This window comes from Homo sapiens, chromosome 19, assembly GCF_000001405.40.
Source record: "Homo sapiens chromosome 19, GRCh38.p14 Primary Assembly".
Classification (NCBI taxonomy): domain Eukaryota; kingdom Metazoa; phylum Chordata; class Mammalia; order Primates; family Hominidae; genus Homo; species Homo sapiens.
The window spans coordinates 8,214,292-8,236,985 of record NC_000019.10 but is presented as its reverse complement, the minus strand read 5'-3'; the positions used below and the strand labels follow the sequence as shown (position 1 = coordinate 8,236,985).

General features: G+C 50.9%; 1 protein-coding gene across 10 annotated transcripts in view, besides 2 other annotated features; it reads right to left on the bottom strand.

Moving 5' to 3' along the window:
- Nucleotides 1–22,694, bottom strand: part of CERS4 (ceramide synthase 4) — a 53,052-nt gene that overhangs the window by 25,436 nt on the left and 4,922 nt on the right. Inside the window, exon 3 of one of the 10 annotated variants that reach the window (XM_047439437.1) lies at nt 22,505–22,620. The exons of the other annotated variants lie outside the window; for them this stretch is intronic. The gene's annotated coding sequence lies outside the window, so the exon portion shown is untranslated. The remainder of the gene's footprint in view (nt 1–22,504; nt 22,621–22,694) is intronic. 10 annotated transcript variants of the gene reach the window in all.
- Nucleotides 16,352–16,858: an enhancer, noted in NCBI's record as "H3K27ac-H3K4me1 hESC enhancer chr19:8285012-8285518 (GRCh37/hg19 assembly coordinates)". NCBI's record gives its function as "activates a minimal SCP1, AML or CMV promoter by ChIP-STARR-seq in primed H9 embryonic stem cells {active_cell/tissue: H9 hESC(primed)}" and the evidence as "EXISTENCE:reporter gene assay evidence [ECO:0000049][PMID:30033119]".
- Nucleotides 21,306–21,807: an enhancer, noted in NCBI's record as "H3K4me1 hESC enhancer chr19:8280063-8280564 (GRCh37/hg19 assembly coordinates)". NCBI's record gives its function as "activates a minimal SCP1, AML or CMV promoter by ChIP-STARR-seq in primed H9 embryonic stem cells {active_cell/tissue: H9 hESC(primed)}" and the evidence as "EXISTENCE:reporter gene assay evidence [ECO:0000049][PMID:30033119]".

The window sequence follows — 22,694 nt, the reverse complement described above, 5'->3', positions numbered from 1 at the left end:
TGTTGCCCAGGCTGGAGTGCAGTGGCCTGATCTCAGTTCACTGCAACCTCTACCTCTCTGGTTCAAGCGATTCTACTGCCTCAGCCACACTGAGTAGCTGGAATTATAGGTCCATGCCACGATGCCTGGCTAATTTTTGTATTTTTAGTAGAGATGGGGTTTCGCCATGTTGGCCAGGCTGGTCTCAAACTCCTGGCCTCAAGTGATCCATCTGCCTTAGCCTCCCAAAGTGCTGGGATTACAGGCATGAGCCACCACGCCCAGCCCTGTTTTTTCTTTCTTTCTTTTTTTTTTTTTTTTTTTTTAGAAGACAGGGCCTGGTTCTGTTGCTCAGGCTAGAGTGCCGTGGCGAGATCACGGCTCATTGCTACCTCTGCGTCTTGGGCCTAAGTGATCCTCCCACCTCAGCATCCCAAGTAGCTAGGACTACAGGCGGGTGCCACCACACCCAGCTAATTTTTGTACTTTTTTGTAGAGATGGGATTTCACCATGTTGCCCAGGCTGGGCTCAAGCGTTCCTCTTGCCTTGGCCTCCCAAAGTGCTGGGATTGCAGGCATGAACCACCACGCCCAGCCATAAGCAGAAATTTGACCCAAACTCTTGGGAAAGTTTAAGAAACACCTAGCATATACAGAGTTCCCCCTCCAAAGAAAACCTTACTAACGCATATGTCATGTTAGGAAACGTCTTTCTCGATTTGAACTAACAAAACTCTGGTACACCAAATGACAAGTCATGAAATAGGACATGTAAAACCTTTTCAACTAGAAGGCATTTTTTTGTTTGTTTTGAGACAGAGTCTCACTCTGTCACCCAGGCCGGAGTGCAGTGGCGCGATCTCGGCTCACTGCAAGCTCCGCCTCCCGGTTTACCCCATTCTCCTGCCTCAGCCCCCGGAGTAGCTGGGACTACAGGTGCCCGCCACCATGCCCAGCTAATTTTTTTGTATTTTTGGTAGAGACGGGGTTTCACCGTGTTAGCCAGGATGGTCTTGATCTCCTGACCTCGTGATCTGCCCGCCTCGGCTTCCCAAAGTGCTGGGATTACAGGCGTGAGCCACCGCGCCCGGCCTGTTTTGTTTTTGTTTTGGGATAGGGTCTTGCTCTTGTTACCCAGGCTGGACTACAGTGGCACGATCACAGCTCATTGCAGCCTCAACCCACCTGGGGCTCAGGTGATCCTCCCACCTCAGCCTCCTGAGTAGCTGGAACCACAGACACATGCCACCAGCCTGCCTAATTTTAAAATTCTTTATAGAGATTGGGGGGAGGGTCTCACTATGTTGCCTGGGCTAGTCTCAAACTCCTAGGTTCAAGCAATCCTCCCACCTCGGCATCCCAAAGTGCTGGGATTATAGGCATGAGCCACCACACCCAGCCTGAACTAGAAGTTGTATTTTTTATTTATTTTTTGACAGGGTTTCCCTATGATGGCCAGGCTGGTCTCGAACTCCTGACCTCAGGAGATCCACCTCCCTCGGCCTCCCAAAGTGCTGGGATTATAGGCATTAGCCACCATGCCCGGCCTGAACTAGAAGTTTTAAAACAGCAAATGGGGAAAAAAAAGCAAAAAGATGGCCCTGTAATCCCAGCACATTGGAAGGCCGAGGCAGGTGGATCACCTGAGGTCAGGAGTTTGAGACTAGCCTGACCAACATAGTGAAACCTCGTCCCTATTATGCCAGGTGCGGTCGTTCACGCCTGTAATCCCAGCACTTTGGGAGGCTGAGGGGGGCAGATCACGAGGTCAGGAGATCAAGACCATCTTGGCCAACATGGTGAAACCCCGTTTCTACTAAAAATACAAAAATTAGCCAGGCATGGTGGTGTGTGCCTGTAATCCCAGCTACTCGGGAGGCTGAGTCAGGAGAATTGCTTGAACCCAGGAGGCAGAGGTTGCAGTGAGCCGAGATCCTGCCATTGCACTCCAGTCTGGGCAACAAGAGTGAAACTCTGTCTGAAAAAAAAAAAAAAGAAAGAAAGAAAGAAAAAGAGAAAGATACAATATGGATAAATCTTGAGGACGTTATGCTGAATGAAATAAACCTGTCACAAGAGGACAAATCCTGTATGATTCCACTTATATGAGGTCTCTAGAATAGTCCCATTCATAGTGACAGAAAGTAGAATGGGGCCGGGCGTGGTGGCTCATGCCTGTAATCCCAGCACTATGAGAAGCCGAGGCAGGTGGATCACCTGAGGTCAGGAGTTCGAGACCAGCCTGGCTAACAAGGTGAAACCCCACCTCTACTAAAAATGCAAAAATTAGCTGGGCATAGTGATGCGTGCCTGTAATCCTAGCTACTTGAGAGGCTAAGGCAGGAGAATTGCTTGAACCCGGGAAGCAGAAGTTGCAGTGAGTTTAGATCAAGCCACTGCACTCCTGCCTGGGGGATAGAGCAAGACTCTGTCTCCAAAAAAAAAAAAAAAAAAAAAAAAAAAATAGAATGGTGGGTGCCAGGGGAAGGGAAATGGGGAGTTAAAATTGAATGGGTAAAGTACAGCATTTCAGTTTTGGAAAACAAAAAGGTTCTGGAAGCTGGGGGCTGTGGCTCATGCCTGTGGTGCAGCTACTCGGGAGGACTGCATGAGCCCAGGCGTTGGAGGCTGCAGTGAGCTATGACTGCACTACTGTACTCCAACCTTGGAGACAGAGGGAGACTGTCTTATTTATTTTTTTGAGATGGAGTCTCACTCTGTCGCCCAGGCTGGAGTGCAGTGGCGCAATCTCAGTTCACTGCAAGCTCTGCCTCCTGGGTTCACGCCATTCTCCTGCCTCAGCCTCCCGAGTAGCTGGGACTACAGGCACCTGCCACCATGCCCGGCTAATTTTTTGTATTTTTAGTAGAGACGGGGTTTCACCGTGTTAGCCAGGATGGTCTCGATCTCCTGACCTCGTGATCCGCCCGCCTCGGCCTCCCAAAGTGCTGGGATTACAGGCGTGAGCCACCACGCCCAGCCGACTCTCTTATTTTGAGACGAGGTCTCTGTTGCTCAGGCTGGAGTGCAGTGGTGCTATCTAACTGCAACCTTCACCACCCAGGCTCAAGTGGTCCTCCCACTTCAGCCTCCTGAGCAGCTGGGACTACAGGCGTGTGCCACCATGCCCAGCTAATTTTTGTGTTTTTGTTTGTTTGTAGAGACAGGATTTCGCCATGTCACCCGGGTTGGTCTCAAACTCTTGGAATCAAGCGATCCACCTGCTATGGCCTCCCAAAGTGCTGGGATTACAGACGTGAGCCACCGCGCCCGGCCCCACAATTAAAAAATTTTTTAATTTTAAAAATTACTAAAGGAGGTATGGGGTGGAGGAAGAGCTATGTTCAATGGCTTGGGAGGATTATGGAGTTAAAAAAAATAAAAGCAAAGTACAGAGAGACACTAATGGCCTGATAATTTATACAATGGAAAACCACAAGAATTCTCCTTCTGGTAATGGTGAAGTCAGCCACATCAGGCCAGCTCTTTCATAGATAACAATGATAAACACTGAGCTAAATATAAAAAAACAACTACCTGGGCCAGGCACGGTGGCTCACACCTGTAATCCCAGCACTCTGGGAGGCCGAGGCAGGCGGATCACCTGAGGTCAGGAGTTTGAGACCAGCCTGGCCAACATGGTGAAACCCCGTCTCTACTAAAAATACAAAAAATTAGCTGGGTGTGGTGGTACGTGCCTGTGATCCCAGCTACTCGGGAGGCTGAGGCAGGAGAATCGCTTGAACCTGGGAGGCGGAAGTTGCAGTGAGCTAAGATCACAGCACTGCACTCCAGCCTGGGTGACAGAGCAAGACTCCGCCCCCCAAAAAAAAATTAGCCGAGTGTGGTGGCTTTTGCCTGTAATCCCAGGCTGAAGTTGGAGGATTGCTTGAGGCCAGGAATTTGAGACCAGGCTGGACAACATAGAGAGACCCTCATCTCTTAAAAAAAATAAAATAAAAAGATTCAGGCTGGCTGCAGTGGCTTATGTCTGTAACCCCAGCACTTTGGGAAGTCAAGGCGGGAGGATCACTCAAGCCTAGGAGTTTAAGACCAGCCTGGACAACATAGTGAAACCTCACCTCCACTTCAAAAAAAAAAAAAAAAAAAAAAAAAATCAGCGAGGCATGGTGGTGTCTCCCTGTAGTCCTAGCTACTCTCTAGGAGGCTGAGGTGGAAGGATGACAAGCCTGGGAGATCTAGGCTGCAGGGAGCTGTGATCACACCACCAGCACTCTAACCTGGGCAACAGGGTGAGACCGTGTCTCAAAAAAAAAAAAAAAGGTTTAAATAAAAAGGTTTTAATAAATATGTTGCACTAACAACATTTGTATACTCAATAGCCACATGTAGCCAGTGGCTACCACTTTGCAGAATTCAGATATGGAACATTTCCATCATTGTAGAAAATTCTAGGCCGGGCACAGTGGCTCATGCCTATAATCCCAGCACTTTGGGAGGCCGAGGTGGGCAGATCATCTGAGGTCGGGAGTTCGAGATCAGCCTGACCAACATGGAGAAACCCCGTCTCTACTAAAAATACAAAAAAATTGCCGGGTGTGGTGGCACGTGCCTGTAATCCCAGCTACTAGGGAGGCTGAGGCAGGAGAATCGCTTAAACCTGGAAGGCAGAGGTTGCAGCGAGCCGAGATTGCACCACTGTATTCCAGCCTGGGTGACAGAGCAAGATTCTGTCTTAAAAAAAAGAAAAGAAAAAAGAAATAAAATTCTACTGGACAGTATCACTCTAAAGAGGAAAAACAAGTAGCAATCGGAAGGGAATCTATAAATGGAAGAAAGAAATGGCACTGGGTGAATTTCTCATTTTTATTGCTATTCATTGGAGATAAAAACTGGCTTAAAGATTAAGAGGATAGGGCCGGGTGTCGTAACTCATGCCTATAATTCCACTGCTTCGGGAGGCTGAGGTGGGAGGATTACTTGAGGCTAGGAGTTTGAGACCAGCTTTGGCAAGATAGTGAGACCCTGTCTCTACCAAAAAAAAAAAAGAAAAAGCTGGGTGAGGTGGTACATGCCTGTAGTCCCAGCTACTCAGGAGGCTGAGGTGGGAGGATCCTTTGAGCCCAGAAGCTATGATTGCACCACTGCACTCCAGCCTGGGAGACTGTCTCTAAAAAAAAAAAAAAAAAAAAAATGCTGGGCACAGTGCCTCATGCTTGTAATCCCAGAACTTTGGGAGGCCAAGGCAGGCGGATCACGAGGTCAGGAAATCGAGACCATCCTGGCTAACACGATGAAACCCTGTCTTTACTAAAAATACAAAAAGAAAATTAGCCGGGCATGGTGGCGGGCATCTGTAATCCCAGCTACTCGGGAGGCTGAGGCAGGAGAATGGTGTGAACCCAGGAGGTGGAGCTTGCAGTGAACCGAGATCACACCACTGCACTCCAGCCTGGGCGACAGAGCAAGACTCCATCTCAAAAAAGAAAAAGAAAAGAAAAGAGCCAGAGATGGAAAGCCCCATATTCTACATTAAAAGTCTGTGTACATCTCTTGCTGACTCTTAGCCCATGGATATTGAACGTATTCCAACTAGCCTTGCTGAGGCTAACAGAACTAGGCCAAGATTTCATCTGCTACCCACCACAGGAGAAACAGACTTTGGAGTCTGAGTCCAGCCAGGTTAACTGCCTGATAAAAAAATAGTTAAATTTTAAAAAATCATTGCTCTTCAAAGGAACATAACAGAATCCAGAGACTCTACAACATATCTTCCACAATATCCAGCACTCAATCCAAAATTTCTTGACATCTCACAAAATTGGAAAACATGGCCCATGCTCAGGAAAGAAGGAAGTTAAAGGAGACTGGCTCTGAGGTGACCCAGATGTTGGAATTAGCAGAAAGGTGTTTGAGGCAGCTATTATGTCTGTAATCCCAGCACTTTGAGACGCCAAGGTGGGTGGATCACTAGAGTTCAGGGGTTCAAGAGCAGCTGGGCAACATGGTGAAACACCGTCTCTACAAAAAATACAAAAATTAGCTGAGCGTGGTGGCATAAGCCTGTAGTCCCAGCTACTTGGGGGGCTGAGGCAAGAGGATCACTTGAGCCCAAGAGGTTGAGGCTGCAGTGAGCTGTGATTGCACCACTGCATTCCAGCCTGGGCAACAGAGTGAGACCCTGTCTCAAAAACAAACAAACAAACAAAACAAAAAACAAATGGAAATTATAAAACTTAAAAATATACACAATCTGAAATTTAAAAATTCACTGTTTGGGCTTGATAGCGCATTGGAGATGATAAAAGAAAGTGCTAACAAATTTAAAGACAGATTGATAGCAAATATCCAAACTGAAGAACAGAGAAGAAAAAAGTTTAAGTAAAAATGGATAGTGGTAATGGTTGCACAACACTTTGAATGTACTGAATACTACTAAGTTGCACACTTAAACATGTTTAAAATGGTTAATTTTATATTACATATATTTTACCTCAATTTAGAAACTGTATAGAGCCTTGGTATTTTCTGGATGATATCAAAAGATCTAACTTATGGCTGGGCACAGTGGCTCCCGCCTGTAATCCCAGCACTTTAGGAGGCTGAATTGGGCGGATCACTTGGGTCCAGGAGTTTGAAACCAGCCTGGCCAACATGATGAAACCCTCTCTCTAATAAAAATACAAAAATTGGCCAGGCGTGGTGGCACATGCCTGTAATCCCAGCTACTCGGGAGGCTGAGGCAGGAGAATCATGTGAACCTGGGAGGCAGAGGCTGGAGTGAGCCGAGATCTGAGATCGCACCACTGTGCTCCAGCTCAGGCGAGACTCCGTCTCAAAAAAAAGAAAAAAAAAGAAAAAAAAAGGTCTAACTTGCATGCAATGGGAGTACTAGAAGGAGAAAGGAAAGAGAATGGGGCAGGTGAAATATTTGAAAAAATAAGAAAGAACACCAAAGGATTTTGATTTTTTTCCCTATGGCTACATATATGCACATAAACACACAGAAGAAGGCTGTAAGGCCAGATGTGGTGGCTCACACCTGTAACCCCAGCACTTTGGGAGGCTGAGGCGGGAAGATCACTTGAGCTCAGGAGTTCGAGGCCAGCCTGGGAAACACAGTGAGACCTTGTCTCTACTAAAATTAAAACAACAACAACAGCAAATAACAACTAGCTGGGTGTGTTGGCACATGCCTGTAGTCCCAGCTACTTTAGGGGCTGAGGCAGGAGGATCACTTGAGCTTGGGAGGTTGAGGCTATAGTGAGTCCTGAACATGCCACTGCATTCCAGCCTGTCTGACAGAGTGAGACCCTTTCTCAAAAAACAAAAAAGGCTGGGCATGTTGGCTCACACCTGTAATCCTAGCACTTTGGGAGGCCAAGGCAGGCAGCAGATCACCTAAGGTCAGGATTTCGAGACCAGCCTGGCCAACATGGTGAAACCCTGTCTCTACTAAAAATACAAAAAAATAGCTGGGCGTGGTGGCAGGCACCTGTCATCCCAGCTACTCCAGAGGATGAGGCAGGAGAATCACTTGAACCCAGGAGACGGAGGTTGCAGTGAGCTGGGATCGCACTGAACTCCAGCCTGGGTGAGAGCGACACACGAAGAAGAAGAAGAAGAAAAAAGAAGAAAGAAGAAGAAGAAAAAAGAAGAAAGAAGAAGAAGGCTCTAAGGGTATAGTCCACATGCATGTGAGTTGTTATACTAGGGAGCTGGTCCGGGTTGGGATGGGAGCCAGTGAACCTGTCTTGTGTTTTACTGATCATAGCTCACTGCAGCCTCCACTTCCTGGGCTCAGGTGATACTCCCAGCTCAGCTCCCCAAGTAGCTGGGATTACAGGTGTGCACTACCTTGCCTAGCTACTGTTTTAATTTTTTGTAGAGATGGGGTTTCACCATGTTGCCAGGCTGGTCTCAAACTCTTGGACTCAGGGGATCCGCCTGCCTCAGCCTCCCAAAGTACTAGGATTACAGGCATGAGCCACCACACCTGGCATTCATGGATTTTTTTTTTTTTTTAGATGAAGTCTCACCGGCCCAGGCTGGTGTGTGCAATGGCGCAATCTCTGCTCATTGCAACCTCCGCCCCAGGGGTTCAAGTGATTCTCCTGCCTCAGCCTCCCAAGTAGCTGGGATTACAGGCATGTGCCCCTATGCCCAGCTAATTTCTGTATTTTTAGGAGAGACAAGGTTTCACCATGTTGGCCAGGCTAGTCTTGAACTCCTGATCTCAAGTGATCCTCTCACCTTGGCTTCCCAAAGTGCTGGGATTACAGGCATGAGCCACCATGATCGGCCTTCACTGATTTTTTTTTATAAGGAGTGGGTTTAAGGGTGACTTCTTAAAAAAAAAATTTTTTTTTTGAGACGGAGTTTTGCTCTTGTTGCCCAGGCTGCAGTGCAACGGCGGGATCTCAGCTCACTGCAACCTCCGCCTCCCAGGTTCAAGCAATTCTCCTGCCTCAGCCTGCTGCGTAGCTGGGATTACAGGCACCTACACCACACCCAGCTAATTTTTTATATTTTTAGTAGAGATGGGGTTTCGCCATGCTGGCCAGGCTGGTCTCAAACTACTGGCCTCAGGTGATCTGCCCACTTAGGCCTCCCAAAGTGCTGGGATTATAGGTGTGAGCCACCATGCTCGGCTGACATATTTAAAAATTTTTTTTAATTGTGGTAAAATACTCAACATTTACCATTAATCGTGTTTAATTATACAGTTCAGTGGCATTAAATATTTCACATGGTTGTGTAACCATAACCACCATCCAGCTCCAGAATTCTTTCATGTTGTAAAACTGAAACTCTGGCAGGGCACGTTGGCTCACACCTGTCATCTCGGCACTTTGGGAGGCCGAGGCGGACGGATCGTGAGACTCTGGCAGGGCACAGTAGCTCACACCTGTCATCTCAGCACTTTGGGAGGCCGAAATGGACGGATCATGAGGTCAAGAGATCGAGACCATCCTGGCCAACATGGTGAAACCCCGTCTCTACTAAAAATACAAAAATTGTCTGGGCGTGGTGGCGGGCGCCTGTAATCCCAGCTACTCGGGAGGCTGAGGTAGGAGAATCGCTTGAACCCAGGAGGCAGAGGTTGCGGTGAGCCGAGATCACGCCACTGCATTCCAGCCCAGCAACATAGTGAGACTCCGTCTCAAAACAACAGCAACAAAAACCTGAAAATCCATGCCTAATAATCAATAATTCCCTGTTCCCTCTCCTTTGGCACCCACCATTCTACTTTCTCTCTGTGTGAATCTGGTGACGCTAGGGGCCTCATGTAAGTGGAATCACACAGTATCTCCCCTTTTGTGACTGGCTGATTTCATGTACCATAATGTCCTCAAGGTTCACCCACATGACATGTTACATCCTTCCCTTTTAAGGCTGAATCAGGCTGGGTGCAGTGACTCATGCCTGTAAGCCGAGCACTTTGGGAGGCTGAGACGGGTGGATCATTTGCGATCAGGAGTTCGAGACCAGCCTGGGCAACATGGTGAAACCCCATCTCCACTAAAAATGCAAAAATTAGCTAGGCGTGGTGGCCAGCTTACTTCCAAGTAAGTCCCAGATACTTGGAAGGCTGAGGCATGAGAATTGCTTGAGCCAAGATCAAGGCAGAGGTTGCAGTGAGCCGAGATCGCACCACTGCACTCCAGCCTGGGTGACAGAGTGAGACTCTGTCTCAAGGAAAAAGAAGAAAAAAAACCTGAATCATATTCCAGTGTATGTATATATATTAAGGGTGACTTTTTAAATAGAAAATTATAGTACATGAAAATGAAAAGATTTCCACTGAAGGTGTGTTTGATACAGGAGACAGGGTTGATACAGGAGAGGGGGCATTTTTGGTAGGGAATGAGCCCTCTACCCCCACCTCACTACTTAAGAAACCAATTCTCTTTTTTTTGAGACAGTTTCGCTCTTGTTGCCCAGGCTGGAGTGCAATGGTGCAATCTTGGCTCACGGCAACATCAACCTCCCAGGTTTAAGCAATTCTCCTGCCTCAGCATCCCAAGTAGCTGGGACTACAGGCATGCACCACCACATCCAGTTGATTTTGTATTTTTAGTAGAGACAGGGTTTCTCCATGTTGGTCAGGCTGGTCTCGAACTCCTGACCTCAGGTGATCCGTCTGCCTCGGCCTCCCAAAGTGCTGGGATTACAGGTGTGAGCCACTGCGCCTGGCCTAATTTTTGTGTTTTTAGTAGAGACGGGGTTTCAGCATGTTGGCCAGGCTGGTCTCGAACTCTTGACCTCAGGCAATCCGCCTGCCTCAGCCTCCCAAAGTGCTAGGATTACAGGCGTGAGCCACTGTGCCCAGTCTGGTCTTGAACTCTTTTGCTCAAGCAATCTGCCCACGTCGGCCTTCCAAAGTGCTGGGATTACAGGCATGAGCCACTACACGGGCCAAGAAACCAATTTTCCATCAAGATCAGCCCCTTTGGTGATGTCCCTGCCCACCTTCCAGGGTGGAGATAATTGTGAAATCTGGGTTATGCTCTGATGGGATCCTTCCTTCACTCAACCTGCTCTAACATCTGCCCCTCCTCCCACCAGCTGTTGGCTGGGCCCCTGTGCTGCTCCCTGGTGACAGCATACATGGAGGTAGATTCATATAGGGCCAAGCAGGTGCAAAGCCAGACTGTTCTGTGGGAGAGCAGGCTTTTGCCCACACCCACACCAGGATTATCCTAAGGCACCAGTGACCAATAGCGTTGGTACCATCCCAGGTATTATCCATCAGACGCTTACCCAGGGACAAGCCCTTACCTCCCTGCATTGGAAATATCAGTCACACCCTGAGGAAGATACTGTTACCATTCTTTTTTTTTAAGACAGAGTCTTGCTCTGTCACTCAGGCTGGAGTGGAGTGCAGTGGTGTGACTTCGGCTCACTGCAACCTCTGCCTCCCGGATTCAAGCGATTCTCCCGTCTCAGCCTCCCAAGTAGCTGGGATTATAAGCATGCGCCACCACACCTGGCTAATTTTTGCATTTTTTAGTAGAGACGGAGTTTCACCATGTTGGCCAAGCTGGTCTTGAACTCCTGTACTTAAATGATCCGCCCGCCTTGGCCTCCCAAAGTGCTGGAATTACAGGCGTGAGTCACCTTGCCCGGTCACCATTCTCATTTCACAGATGAACAAACTGAGTCTTGGAGACATGCCGGATCACCTACACAGGGTCACATAGCTGACAAATGGCCAGGCAGTAATTTGACCCCAGCTCTGTGGCACCAGGCATTCCAGACAGACATGGGCCCAGAGACACTCAGCTCATCAGCAGTAGCCTCAGAATTATCAGAAAACACGGCCGGGTACGGTGGCTCACGCCTATAATCCCAGCACTTTGGGAGGCGGAGGTGGGTGGATCACCTGAGGTCAGGAGTTCGAGACCAGCCTGGCCAACATGGAGAAACCCCATCTCTACTAAAAATACAAAAATTAGCTGGGCTTGGTGGCGGGCACCTGTAATCCCAGCCACTCGAGAGGCTGAGGCAGGAGAATCGCTTGAACCCGGGAGGCGGAGGTTGCAGTTAGCCGAGATCGCTCCATTGCGCACTCCAGCCTGGGGGGCCAAGAGTGAGACTTTGTCTCAAAAAAAAAAAAAAAAAAAAGAATTATTGGAAAACAGGACTTGCCTTCCTGCTTCTATTCACTGTCCACTGCCACCTCTCTGTCCCCACCCTACTACTCCAGCCTTTGGCTTTTGGCCATCAGTCGCAGCCTCCCATGGCCAATCCCAAGTGGTCAATTCCTCTAAGCATGAAACTGGGACCCTCTAGTAGCATCTCCTCCCCTTGTCCATCCCTCCTTCCCAGAATCATGACCTCCTGGTTCCCCTCCTCTCTGCTGTTTTCTCTAATTTGTGCTGGTTTTTCTCCCTAAATTATGCCAGTCCTGGATCCCCTCACACCATCTGCTCTCCCTGGGAAATTCACCTGCCTGGAAGCTGCGGCCAGCACGTCCATGCTGTCAGTTTCCAGATTTCTGCTGCTCCCAGGTCACCATCCCGCCAAAGCCAAACCTGCTGCCCCAATACCTCCCGTCTGCGCGCTGTCCAGACACGTCAGGGCTGAAGTCATCTCCCACAGAGCCTTCTTTCCTCCTCCCCTGGCTTCTTGGCCAAGATCCCACCCTCCACCCAGTCTTCAGGGACAAAATTCTGAGAGTCATCTCTGACTCCATCTCACACCCTCTCGGCACTCAGCTCCTCATTAAGCCCTACGATTACGTCCGTCTTTCCCGCGACAGTCCCTCCTCTGCCCGATTTCCACGGCTCCCATTTCTTGATTGAATCATGGTGGCCGCCTCCCCACTCAGCACCCAGGTCTTTCTTCTTGCCTGCAAATCAGACCCGCAGCTTTGAATCCTGCAAGTGCTCCCACTGGCCTGGCACGGTGCTCCCCAGCAAATGGACCTTGGCACATGCCATTCCCTACCAGTAATGCCCTCCCTTCAGCCTGCCAAATTCCTCCCAGCTCTTCACGACTCTGTTCAACAGACACTTCCTCTAGGAGGGCCGACCAATCGCCGCTGGGCTGGGTTAGGGGACACTCCCCTCCTGGGTTCTCCTACCTCATCTTTCTCAGAACTTTTGGGGCAACAATTTTTTTTTTTTTTTTTTTGCGATGGAGTCTCGCTCTGTCACCCAGGCTGGAGTGCAGTGGCACAATCTCTACTCACCGCAATCTCCGCCTCCCAGGTTCAAGCGATTCTCCTGCCTCAGCCTCCTGAGTAGCTGGGATTACAAGCGCGTGCCACCACACCCGGCTAATTATTGTATTTTTAGTAGAGACAGGGTTTCACCATGTTGGTCAGGCTGGTCTCGAACCCCTGACCTCGTGATCCGCCCGCCTTGGCCTCCCAAAGTGCTGGGATTACAGGCATGGGCCACCGTGCCTGGCCTTTTTTTTTTTTTTTTTTTTTTAAAGACGGAGTCTTGCTGTCACCCAGGCTGGATGGAGTGCAGTGGTGTGATCTCAGCTCACTGCACCCTCCACCTCCCAGGTTCAAGCAATTCTCCTGCCTCAGCCTCCCAAGTATCTGGGACTACAGACACGCACCATGATGCCCGGCTAATTTTTTTTGTATTTTTAGTAGAGACGGGGTTTTACCATGTTGGTCAGGCTGGTCTCGAACTCCTGATTTCAAATGATCCGCCCGCCTCGGTCTCCCAAAGTGCTGGGATTACAGGCATGAGCCACTGCACCCAGCCACGGGCAACTGTTTTTTGTGTTTTTGTTTTTGAGACAGGGTCTTGCTTTGTTGCCCAGGCTGGAGTGCAGTGGCATGATCAAGGTTCACTGCAGTTTCGACCTCCCAGGCTCAAGTGATCCTCCCACCTCAGCTTTCTGAGTAGCTGGGATTATAGGCGTGCACTGCCACGCCCGGCTAATTTTGTCTTTGTTTTTTTAGACAGAGTTTCTCTCTTGTTGCCTAGGCTGGAGCACAATGGTGCAATCTTAGCTCCCTGCAACCTCCGCCTCCCAGGTTCAAGTGATTCTCCTGCCTCAGTCTCACAAGTAGCTGGGATTACAGGCGTGTGCAACCATGCCCAGCTACTTTTGTATTTTTTTAGTAGAGACAGGGTTTCAACATGTTGGTCAGGCTGGTCTTGGACTCCTGAGCTCAAGTGATCCTCCCACCTCTCAGCCTCCCAAAGTGCTGGGATTACAGGCATGAACCACTGCACCCGGCCCGGCCAATTAAAAAAGAAAATTTTTTTGTAGAGACCAGGTCTCACTATGTTTCCCAGGCTAGTCTCAAACTCCTGGGTTCAAGTGATCCTGATGCCTCAACAGGATCCCAAAGTGCTGGGATTACAGGTACATGCCGCCATGCCCAGCTAATTTTTTTTTTTGGCAGAGACAGGGTTTCCCTATGTTGCCCAGGCTGGTCTCAAACTCCTGGCCTCAAGTGATCCTCCCACCTCAACCTCCCAAAGTGCTGGGACTATAGATGTGAGCCACTGCACCCAGCCAGGGACAACTATCTTCCCCCATATCCTGGTGATTAGGACCTCTCCATTTTCCCAGCACCTGACACACAACGGGTAGCAGGAAACTGTCCACCGACTGCACAAATGAGTAAAAGGCTCAACTGAGACCGGGCACCCAGGATTCCAGAGAACAACCAAGCTCCAGTTTCAGGCTTTCCCACCACCCTCATGGCCACCTGTCCGTCTTCCACCTGTGCTGTGAGGCACTCACTGCTCTCCTTCAAAAGGCTCGTGCTGGCCAGGCACAGTGGCTGACACCTGTAATCTCAGCATTTTGGGAGGCCGAGGCGGGTGGATCATCTGAGGTCAGGAGTTCAAGATCCGCCTGACCAACATGGAGAAACCCCGTCTCTACCAAAAATACAAAATTAGCCAGGTGTGGTGGCGCATGCCTGTAATCCCAGCTACTCGGGAGGCTGAAGCAGGAGAATTGCTTGAACCCAGGAGGCGGAGGTTGCCGTGAGCCAAGATCACACCATTGTACTCTAGCCTGGGCAACAAGAGCAAAACTCCGTCTCAAAAACAAAAATAAATAAATAAAAAAGGCTCATGCTGGCCAGGCACAGTGACTCACGCCTGTAATCCCAGCACTTCTCGGAGGCTGAAGCAAGAGGATCACCTGAGGTCAGGAGTTCAAGACCAGCCTGGCCAACATGGTGAAACCCCATCTCTACAAAAAAATACAAAAATTAGCTGGGCATGATGGTGGGTGCCTGTAATCCCAGCTACTCAGGAGGCTGAGACAGGAGAATCGTTTGAACCCGGGAGGCCGAGGTTGCAGTGATCCGAGATTGCGCCACTGCACTCCAGTCTGGGTGACAGAGCGAGACTCCATCTCAAAAAAAAATAAATAGGGCCGGGCGCGGTGGCTTACGCCTGTAATCCCAGCACTTTGGGAGGCTGAGGCGGGTGGATCACGAGATCAGGAGATTGAGACCATCCTTGCTAATACGGTGAAACCCCGTCTCTACTAAAAATACAAAAAATTAGCTGGGCGTGATGGCAGGCACCTGTAGTCCCAGCTACTGGGAGGCTGAGGCAGGAGAATGGCGTGAACCCGGGAGGCGGAGCTTGCAGTGAGCCACGATCATGCCACTGCACTCCAGCCTGGGCGACAGAGCAAGCCTCTGTCTCAAAAAAAAAAAAAAAAAAAAAAAAAAACATAAAAAAATAAATAAGTCAGTAAGTAAATATAAAATAAAATTTTAGGCTGGGTGTGGTGGCTCATGCCTGTAATCCCAGCACTTTGGTAGGCTGAGGAGGGCGGATCACTTGAGGTCATGAGTTCGACCTCAGCATGGTGAAGCCTCGTCTCTACTAATAATACAAAAAAATTAGCTGGGCATGGTAATCCCAGCTACTTGGGAGGCCGAGGCAGGAGAATCGCTTGAACCTGGGAGGTGGAGGTTACAGTGAGCCAAGATCGTGCCACTGCACTCCAGCATGGGTGACAGAGCAAGATTCCGTCTCAAAAAAAAAAAATAAGAAAAAAAAAAGTTAAAAGGCTCACATTGTTTGTTTACCGAAATACATTTATTTTCAGAAGACACTTTCTCTCCCTCCCTCTCTCCCTGAAAGAGCAAGCCAGCATTGGCATCACGTGCAGAGGCTAGCCGTGAAAACAAATACAATGAACACAAAACAAAGTGCAGTCTTGACCAGTTCCCGATGTTGGCAAGGCTGCCAGCCCAGGCCCTCGGGCACTCCAGATTCAAGGGGAGGTTACCAAGTGTCTGTTACCATGCCTTGAAGGACACAGCAGCAGAACCAGGTACAGTGGCTCACACCTGTAATTCCAATACTTTGGGAGGCTGGGGTGGGAGGATTGCTTGAGCCTAGCAGTTCAAGACCAGCCTGAGCAACATAGCGAGACCCTGTCTCTGTTTAAAAAAAAAAAAAAAAATACACAGGCCGGGCACAGTGGCTCACGCCTGTAATCCCAGCACTTTGGGAGGCCGAGGCGGGCAGATCACAAGGTCAGGAGATCGAGACCATCCTGGCTAACAGGGTGAAACCCCGTCTCTACTAAAAAAAATACAAAAAAATTAGCCAGGCACCGTGGCGGGCGCCTATAGTCCCAGCTACTCGGGAGGCTGAGGCAGGAGAACGGCATGAACCCAGGAGGCAGAGCTTGCAGTGAGCCGAGGTTGCACCACTGTACTCCAGCCCGGGTGACAGAGCGAGACTCCGTCTCAAAAAAAAAACAAAAAAAAAAACACAAAACAGCAGTGGTAACAGAAGCCCTCAGCCTTGATGCCATGGGAAGGCGGCAGAGATTTCGGGAGGGACCGATTCTGGGAGTTCTCCTGGCAACACAGGCTGCCCTTGGAGGTTGTCCCATCCCTGGAGGTCACTCAGAGGCTGGCTGGCCTCTTGCAGGTGACAGCAGCCAGAGTGGGGAAGCTGGGTCAGAACAGGTAGGGAGGCTCAGCCGGACGCGGTGGCTCATGCCTGTATTCCCAGTACTTTGGGAGGCCGAGGCGGGCAGATCACCTGAGGCCAGGAGTTCCAGATCAGCCTGGCCAACATGGTGAAACCCCATTTCTACTAAAAATATAAAAATTACCTGGGCATGGTGGCACATGCCTGTAATCCCAGCTGCTCAGGAGGCTGAGGCAAGAGAATCACTTGAACCTGCGAGGTGGAGATTGTAGTGAGCCGAGATCGCACCACTGCACTCCAGCCTGGGTAACAGAGCATGGTGCTGTCTCCAGAAAAGAAGAGAGAGGGAGGCTGAAGGTGGAGGGTGGCAGAGACAGGAGCCTCGGGGAGGGGTGCTGAGGTCCGGGTAGGGTATCTTCAAGGGGTGGGGGTGGCAGATTGGGATGAGTATCTGGGGTAGATCTGGGAACTGCCTGCTTGGGCAGGAATAAGGGGACACACAGCCGAGGGGTGGGAGGGGGCGAGGAGAGCCGGTGGGCAAATTCCAGGCATGGAATTCTAAGATGGCATCATCCGAGAGGGAGGAAAACAACAGGGTGAGGGCAGCAGCCGTGGAGCTCCAGGGTCCCCAGGTATGTATCCACTTAACAAATTTTTTTTTTTTAAGAGACAACAGGATTCCACTCTGTTGCCCAGGCTGGAGTGCAGTGGCATGATCATAGCTCACTGCAGCCTCAAACTCTTGGGTTCAAATGATCCCCCTGCCTCAGCCTCCTGAATAGCTGAGACTACAGGCACCCATGCCACTATACCCAGCTAATTTTTTTTTTTTGAAACAGAGTTTCGCTCTTGTTGCCCAGGCTGGAGTGCAGAAGCACAGTCTTAGCTCATTGCAACCTCCACCTCCCGGGTTCAAGCGATTTTTCTGCCTCAGCCTCCTGAGTAGCTGGAGTTACAGGTATGTGCCACCACACCTGGCTAATTTTTTTGTATTTTTAGTAGAGACGGGATTTCACCATGTTGGTCAGGCTGGTCTCAAACTCCTGACCTCAGGTGATCCATCCGCCTTGGCCTCCCAGAGTGCTGGGATTACAGGCATAAGCCACTGTGCCCAGCCCTCACCCAGCTAATTTTAAAATATATATTTTTTATAGAGATAGGGTCTTACTATGTTGCCCAGGCTTGTCTCGAACTCCTGGCCTCAAGCCATACTTGAGCCTCAGCCTCTCAAAGTGTTGGGATGACAGGTGCAAGCCACCGTGTCCGGCCTCCAGGCATCCATCTGAACCTACATGGGCCTGCAGTCCTGCCTGGGTCTCAGAGGAGCTGGGGGCAGTGGGTTGAGACAGTAGCAAACTGTGGACCTCAGAGCCTGCTCCTATCCTGCAGGGTGGCTCAGGCAGCTGGAGTTCTCTGTGAAATCAAGTCACCACCTTTTTTTGCGGGAGATGAAGTCTCGCTCTGTCACCCAGGCTAGAGTACAATGGCACGATCTAGGCTCACGGCAACCTCCGCCTCCTGGGTTCAAGTGATTCTCCTGCCTCAGCCTCCCAAGTCGCTGGGAATACAGGCGCCCGCCACCATGCCCAGCTAATTTTTGTATTTTTAGTAGAGATGGGGTTTTACCACGTTGGCCAGGCTGGTCTCGAACTCCTGGCCTCAAGTGATCCTCCCGCCTCGGCCTCCCAAAGTGCTGGGATTACAGGCATGAGCCACGGCTCCCGGCCTCAAGTCACCATCTTGATACCCATCCACCCAGTGAAGCAAGAAGCCACAGAGAGCCCCTGCAGAGCACACGTCTTCCATCAGCCCTCTGGGTTGGATGGGTTGGCACAGAGAAGGGCCCCCAGTGGGGAGGCAGAGGCTACCTATCGTCCCTTTAAGGACCGGAGGTGTTTGTGTAACTGGAGGCAAAGCACTTCCTCTCAGATGACGGTCCAGGACCGCCCCTCCTCTGGGATACACACAGATGGAGTCCATCCCTCTCTCAGCAGTGGCTCTGAGTACCAGCCTGTCCCTTCCCCATCTCAAGATCTCCTCGGAGGCTCCCCATGGCTCCTGACCTGGCATTCGAGGCCTTTGTGACCTGGCCGAACGCACTGCCCTGTCCTGGCCTCCCTGTCTGCCCTCCCGCAGCCACCCTGACTCCGAGGTTCTCAGCCTAGGGTCTCCACGGGTGGATTCCCAGAGTCTGCTTCAATTTTAGGAATGTTGCTCCGATGCCATTCCCGGATGCCAGGCCTTTGCCTGGGCCGCTCCCTCTAAATCACTGTTCAGCATTCCGTTATCTGATGCCTGGCATGGTTAAACCTTCAAGTGGGCAGCTTGCCTGTGGCTGCCTCCAGGAAGTCTTGAAGACTCCCAGCCTGGGTCAAGAGCCTCTCCTTGGTCATGCACAGTGGCTCATACCTGTAATCCCAGTGCTTTGGGAGGCCAAGGTGGGCAGATCACCTGAGGTCAGGAGTTCAAGACCAGCCTGGCCAATATGGTGAAACCTCATCTCTACTAAAAATACAAAAATTAGCTGGGTATGGTGGCACGTGCCTGTAATCCCAGTTACTTGGGAGGCTGAGGCAGTAGAATCGCTTGAACCCGGGAGGCAAAGGTTGCAGTGAGCCAAGATTGCACCACTGCACTCCAACCTGGGCGACAGAGTGAGACTCTGTCTCAAAATAAAAGCAAAAACAAAAAGAAGGCCAAATGTAGATCCCAGCACTTTGGGAGGATGAGGCGGGCAGATCACTTGAGATCAGGAGTTCGAGACCAGTCTGGCCAGCATGGCAAAACCCCGTCTCTACAAAAGAATACAAAAATTAGCCAGGTGCGGTGGCTCACGCCTGTAATCCCAACACTTTGGGAGGCCGAGGCGGGCGGATCACGAGGTCAGGAGATCGAGACCATCCTGGCTAACAGGGTGAAACCCCGTCTCTACTAAAAATACAAAAAAAATAGCCAGGCGTGGTGGTGGGCACCTGTAGTCCCAGCTACTGGGGAGGCTGAGGCAGGAGAATGACATGAACCCGGGAGGCGGAGCTTGCAGTGAGCCGAGATGGAGTCACTGCACTCCAGCCTGGGTGAAAGAGCGAGACTCCATCTCAAAAAAAAAAAAAAAAACATTAGCCAGGTGTGGTAGTGGACACCTGTAATCCCAGCTACTCAGGAAGCTGATGCAGGAGGATCGCTTGAACTCGGGAGGCGGAGATTGCAGTGAACCGAGATTGCGCCACTGCACTCCAGCCTGAGCGACAGAGCGAGACTCTGTCTCAAAAAAAAATTAAAAAACGAGCCTCTCCTTGCCTTCAGTGTCTCTGATTGTTTTCCTTGTACCCTGGTTAATCTGCCTTGTAACTGCCCAAAGACACGTCTGTCTCCCCACTGAATGAGGGGTCTCTGGGAGGGCAGTAAACAAGTCCAATTCCTGTCTCAGCCCATCACTCACTCCCACTCAGGCCCCAGCCCTAATGTCGCCTTTTCAGAGGGGTCCTGACTGCCCAAAATAAAGTAACGTCTCCTTGCTCTTCATCACATTTCTGGAAAATTCTAGGAGTGGGTGGGAAAGTCATAAATGTCCTGTCTCAGAGTCTGACCCTCTGGAGGCCTCAGATTGGCCCCCAGCTCCTTCCAGACTCCAGCAAGGTCCCCGGGAAGCTGACATGTGTTAAGTGCCAGGTCCCTCTGTCATCTGTACTTTGCAACTGGGGAAAGTGAGGCATGGAGTCATCCAAAGTCATAAAGTAGGGAGTAGAGTCTGGGACTTGGACCCAAGCCTGCCTGTCTCCAGAACCTGCCTGTTACCTGCCACCCGAGGTACGCTACCCCCAACGCCATCCGCCCCCCAAGTCCAACCTCTCAGGCTGCAGCCATAAGGACCCAGGATGGCTGACATCACTTCACATTTATCGGGTGCCCACTGCATACCAACTACACACTGGGATCCCAGCAGAGAACAGAGTAGACAAGAAATTTCACTCCATGGAGCCAATATTCTGGACATGGTGGAGATGAGGGAGTGGCAAAGACTCTATATCTTAATTTTTTTTCAGAAATGGGGTCTTGCTATGTTGCCCAGGCTGGTCTTGAACTCCTGGGCTCAAGTGATCTGCCCAACTTGCCTCTCAAAGTGCTGGGATTACAGGCATGAGCCACCTGATCTGGCCCTGCATTTTGATAATTTGTTTGTTTTGTTATTGTCAGGTGGAGAGAAAAATAAGGCAGGAAAAGGAATGAGGAGTCAGGCAGTGGGGGCTGTAATTTTCTTTTTTTTTTTTTTTCCAAGACAAAATCTCTCTCTGTCGCCCAGGCTGGAATGCAGTGCCACCATCTCAGCTCACTGCAACCTCCATCTCCCAGGTTCAAGTGATTCTCCTGCCTCAGCCTCCCAAGCAGCTGGGATTACAGGCGCCCACCACCACGCCTGGCTAATCTTTGCATTTTTAGTAGAGACGGGGTTTCACCTTGTTGGCCAGGCTGGTCTTGAACTCCTGGCCTCAGGTGATCTGCCCACCTCAGGCTCCCAAAGTGCTGGGATTACAGGTGTGAGCCACGGTGCCTGGCAGGGCTACAATTTTAAAGAGGGAGGTCAGGAAGCCCTCCCTGAGAAGGTAGGGAGGTGAGGGAGGAAACCCTGATGATAGAACATTCTAGAAAGGGGGAAGAGCCAGTGCAAAGGCCCTGAGGCAGGGCCAGGCATCCTGGACTCGAGGCACAGAGAGGTGGCTTATGCCTGCCCTCACCAACATCCCAGATGGAGAAACAAAACCCAGAGGACCACCTCCCTCCCGTCCTGTTACCGTCTGGGTGCCATCACCCTAAAAAGCCCAGCCCCTATTCCCCTGTCCCTGCTGTGGCTCATCACACCTGCCAGATCACAGAGGAGTGCCAGGGACAAGGGATGCCCCCTCCCAGTTTGGACGGGGATGGAGGGGACAGTCCGGGTCACAGTGCCGTGGCTCAACAGAACCTCAGATCTAGGCTCCAGCATCCAAGTGTCTAAATTCCCTCCCAGTGAAGCCCAGGTTCGTGGTGGGAGTGGGGAGGGTGCCCAGGCTCTTGTGGGGTACAGGGAGAGGGGACCGAGTTCTCTCTCTTTTGCCTGGGAAGGGAGCGACTGCAGGCTAGAGGCTGGCCCATCCCCCAGACACACCCGCTGCTTGTTTTTTGTTTTTTTTTTTTTGAGACAGAGTCTTGCTCTGTTGCACAGGCTGGAGTGCAGTGGTGTGATCTCTGCTCACTGCAACCTCCGCCCCCCTGGTTCAAGCAATTCTCCTGCCTCAGCCTCCTGAGTAGCTGGGACTACAGGCACACACCGCTGCACCTGGCTAATTTTTGTATTTTTAGTAGAGACAGGGTTTCGCCATGTTGGCCACGCTGGTCTCGAACTCTTGACCTCAGGCGATCCACCCACATCGGCCTCCCAAAGTGCTGGGATCACAGGTGTGAGCCACCGCGCCTGGCCCTGCTGCTTGGCTTTTGCTGTTTGTCCTCTAGGCCCCTGATCGAGGCTACCATCCCTGCATCCCTAGGGCTCCCCCATCACCTATCTGAGAACGTCCTGGCTCCTCCATCCAGCTCTGGCTGCTTGCCCACTGGCTGCTGCCGTTGCTTCTTCCTCCTCGTCCTCCCCCTCCTCTTCCTTTTTCTCCTCCTCCTCCTCCCTCTCCTCCCCCTCCTCTTCCTTTTTCTCCTCCTCCCCCTCCTCCCTCTCCTCCCCCTCGTCTTCCTCCCTTTCCTCTTCCTCCTCCCCTCCCACCTCCTCCCCACTGCCCTTCATCTCCTCTGCTTCCATACGCTCATCAGTACCCTTCCCTGGCTACTTCCCTCTCCCAGTTCAGCTGAGCCCCATTGTGTGGAGGGGAGGAGGAGAAGTCTTGGCCACTGCGTAGTCCTCCTCTCCTTCCTCCTGCCAGCTTCCTCAGCCTTCAAGGTTCGAGCACCCCAGCACAGGTGACCACTGCACATACAGGACGACAAAGTAACCGTGCAAAAGCAGTAGGGTCCCATAACCTTTCACTCCTCAAGTCCCCTTGAGCAAGGACTCTCCAGGGTATGCTGTGGTTGGACTGGGGGTTCCCAAGGACCTTCAGTCTCTTCATCTACTCCTCTCTCTACTCTATGACTCCTTGCTTAGTTTGCTCCAGCCACCCCAGCCTCATTGCATTCCTCCAACACACCATGCCTGTTCCAGCCTCAGGGCCTTTGCACCTGCTGGGCCTTCTGCCCGGAGCACTCTTCCTCCAGATGTCTAGCTGCTCCTTCAAGCCTCATCCTTGTCCCCATCACCTTCTCCCTGCGGGGACATCAGCTCCGTAAGGCTTCCTGTGGCTGTCTGTCCCCAGTGCCTCCCACTGCAGACACTTCCTA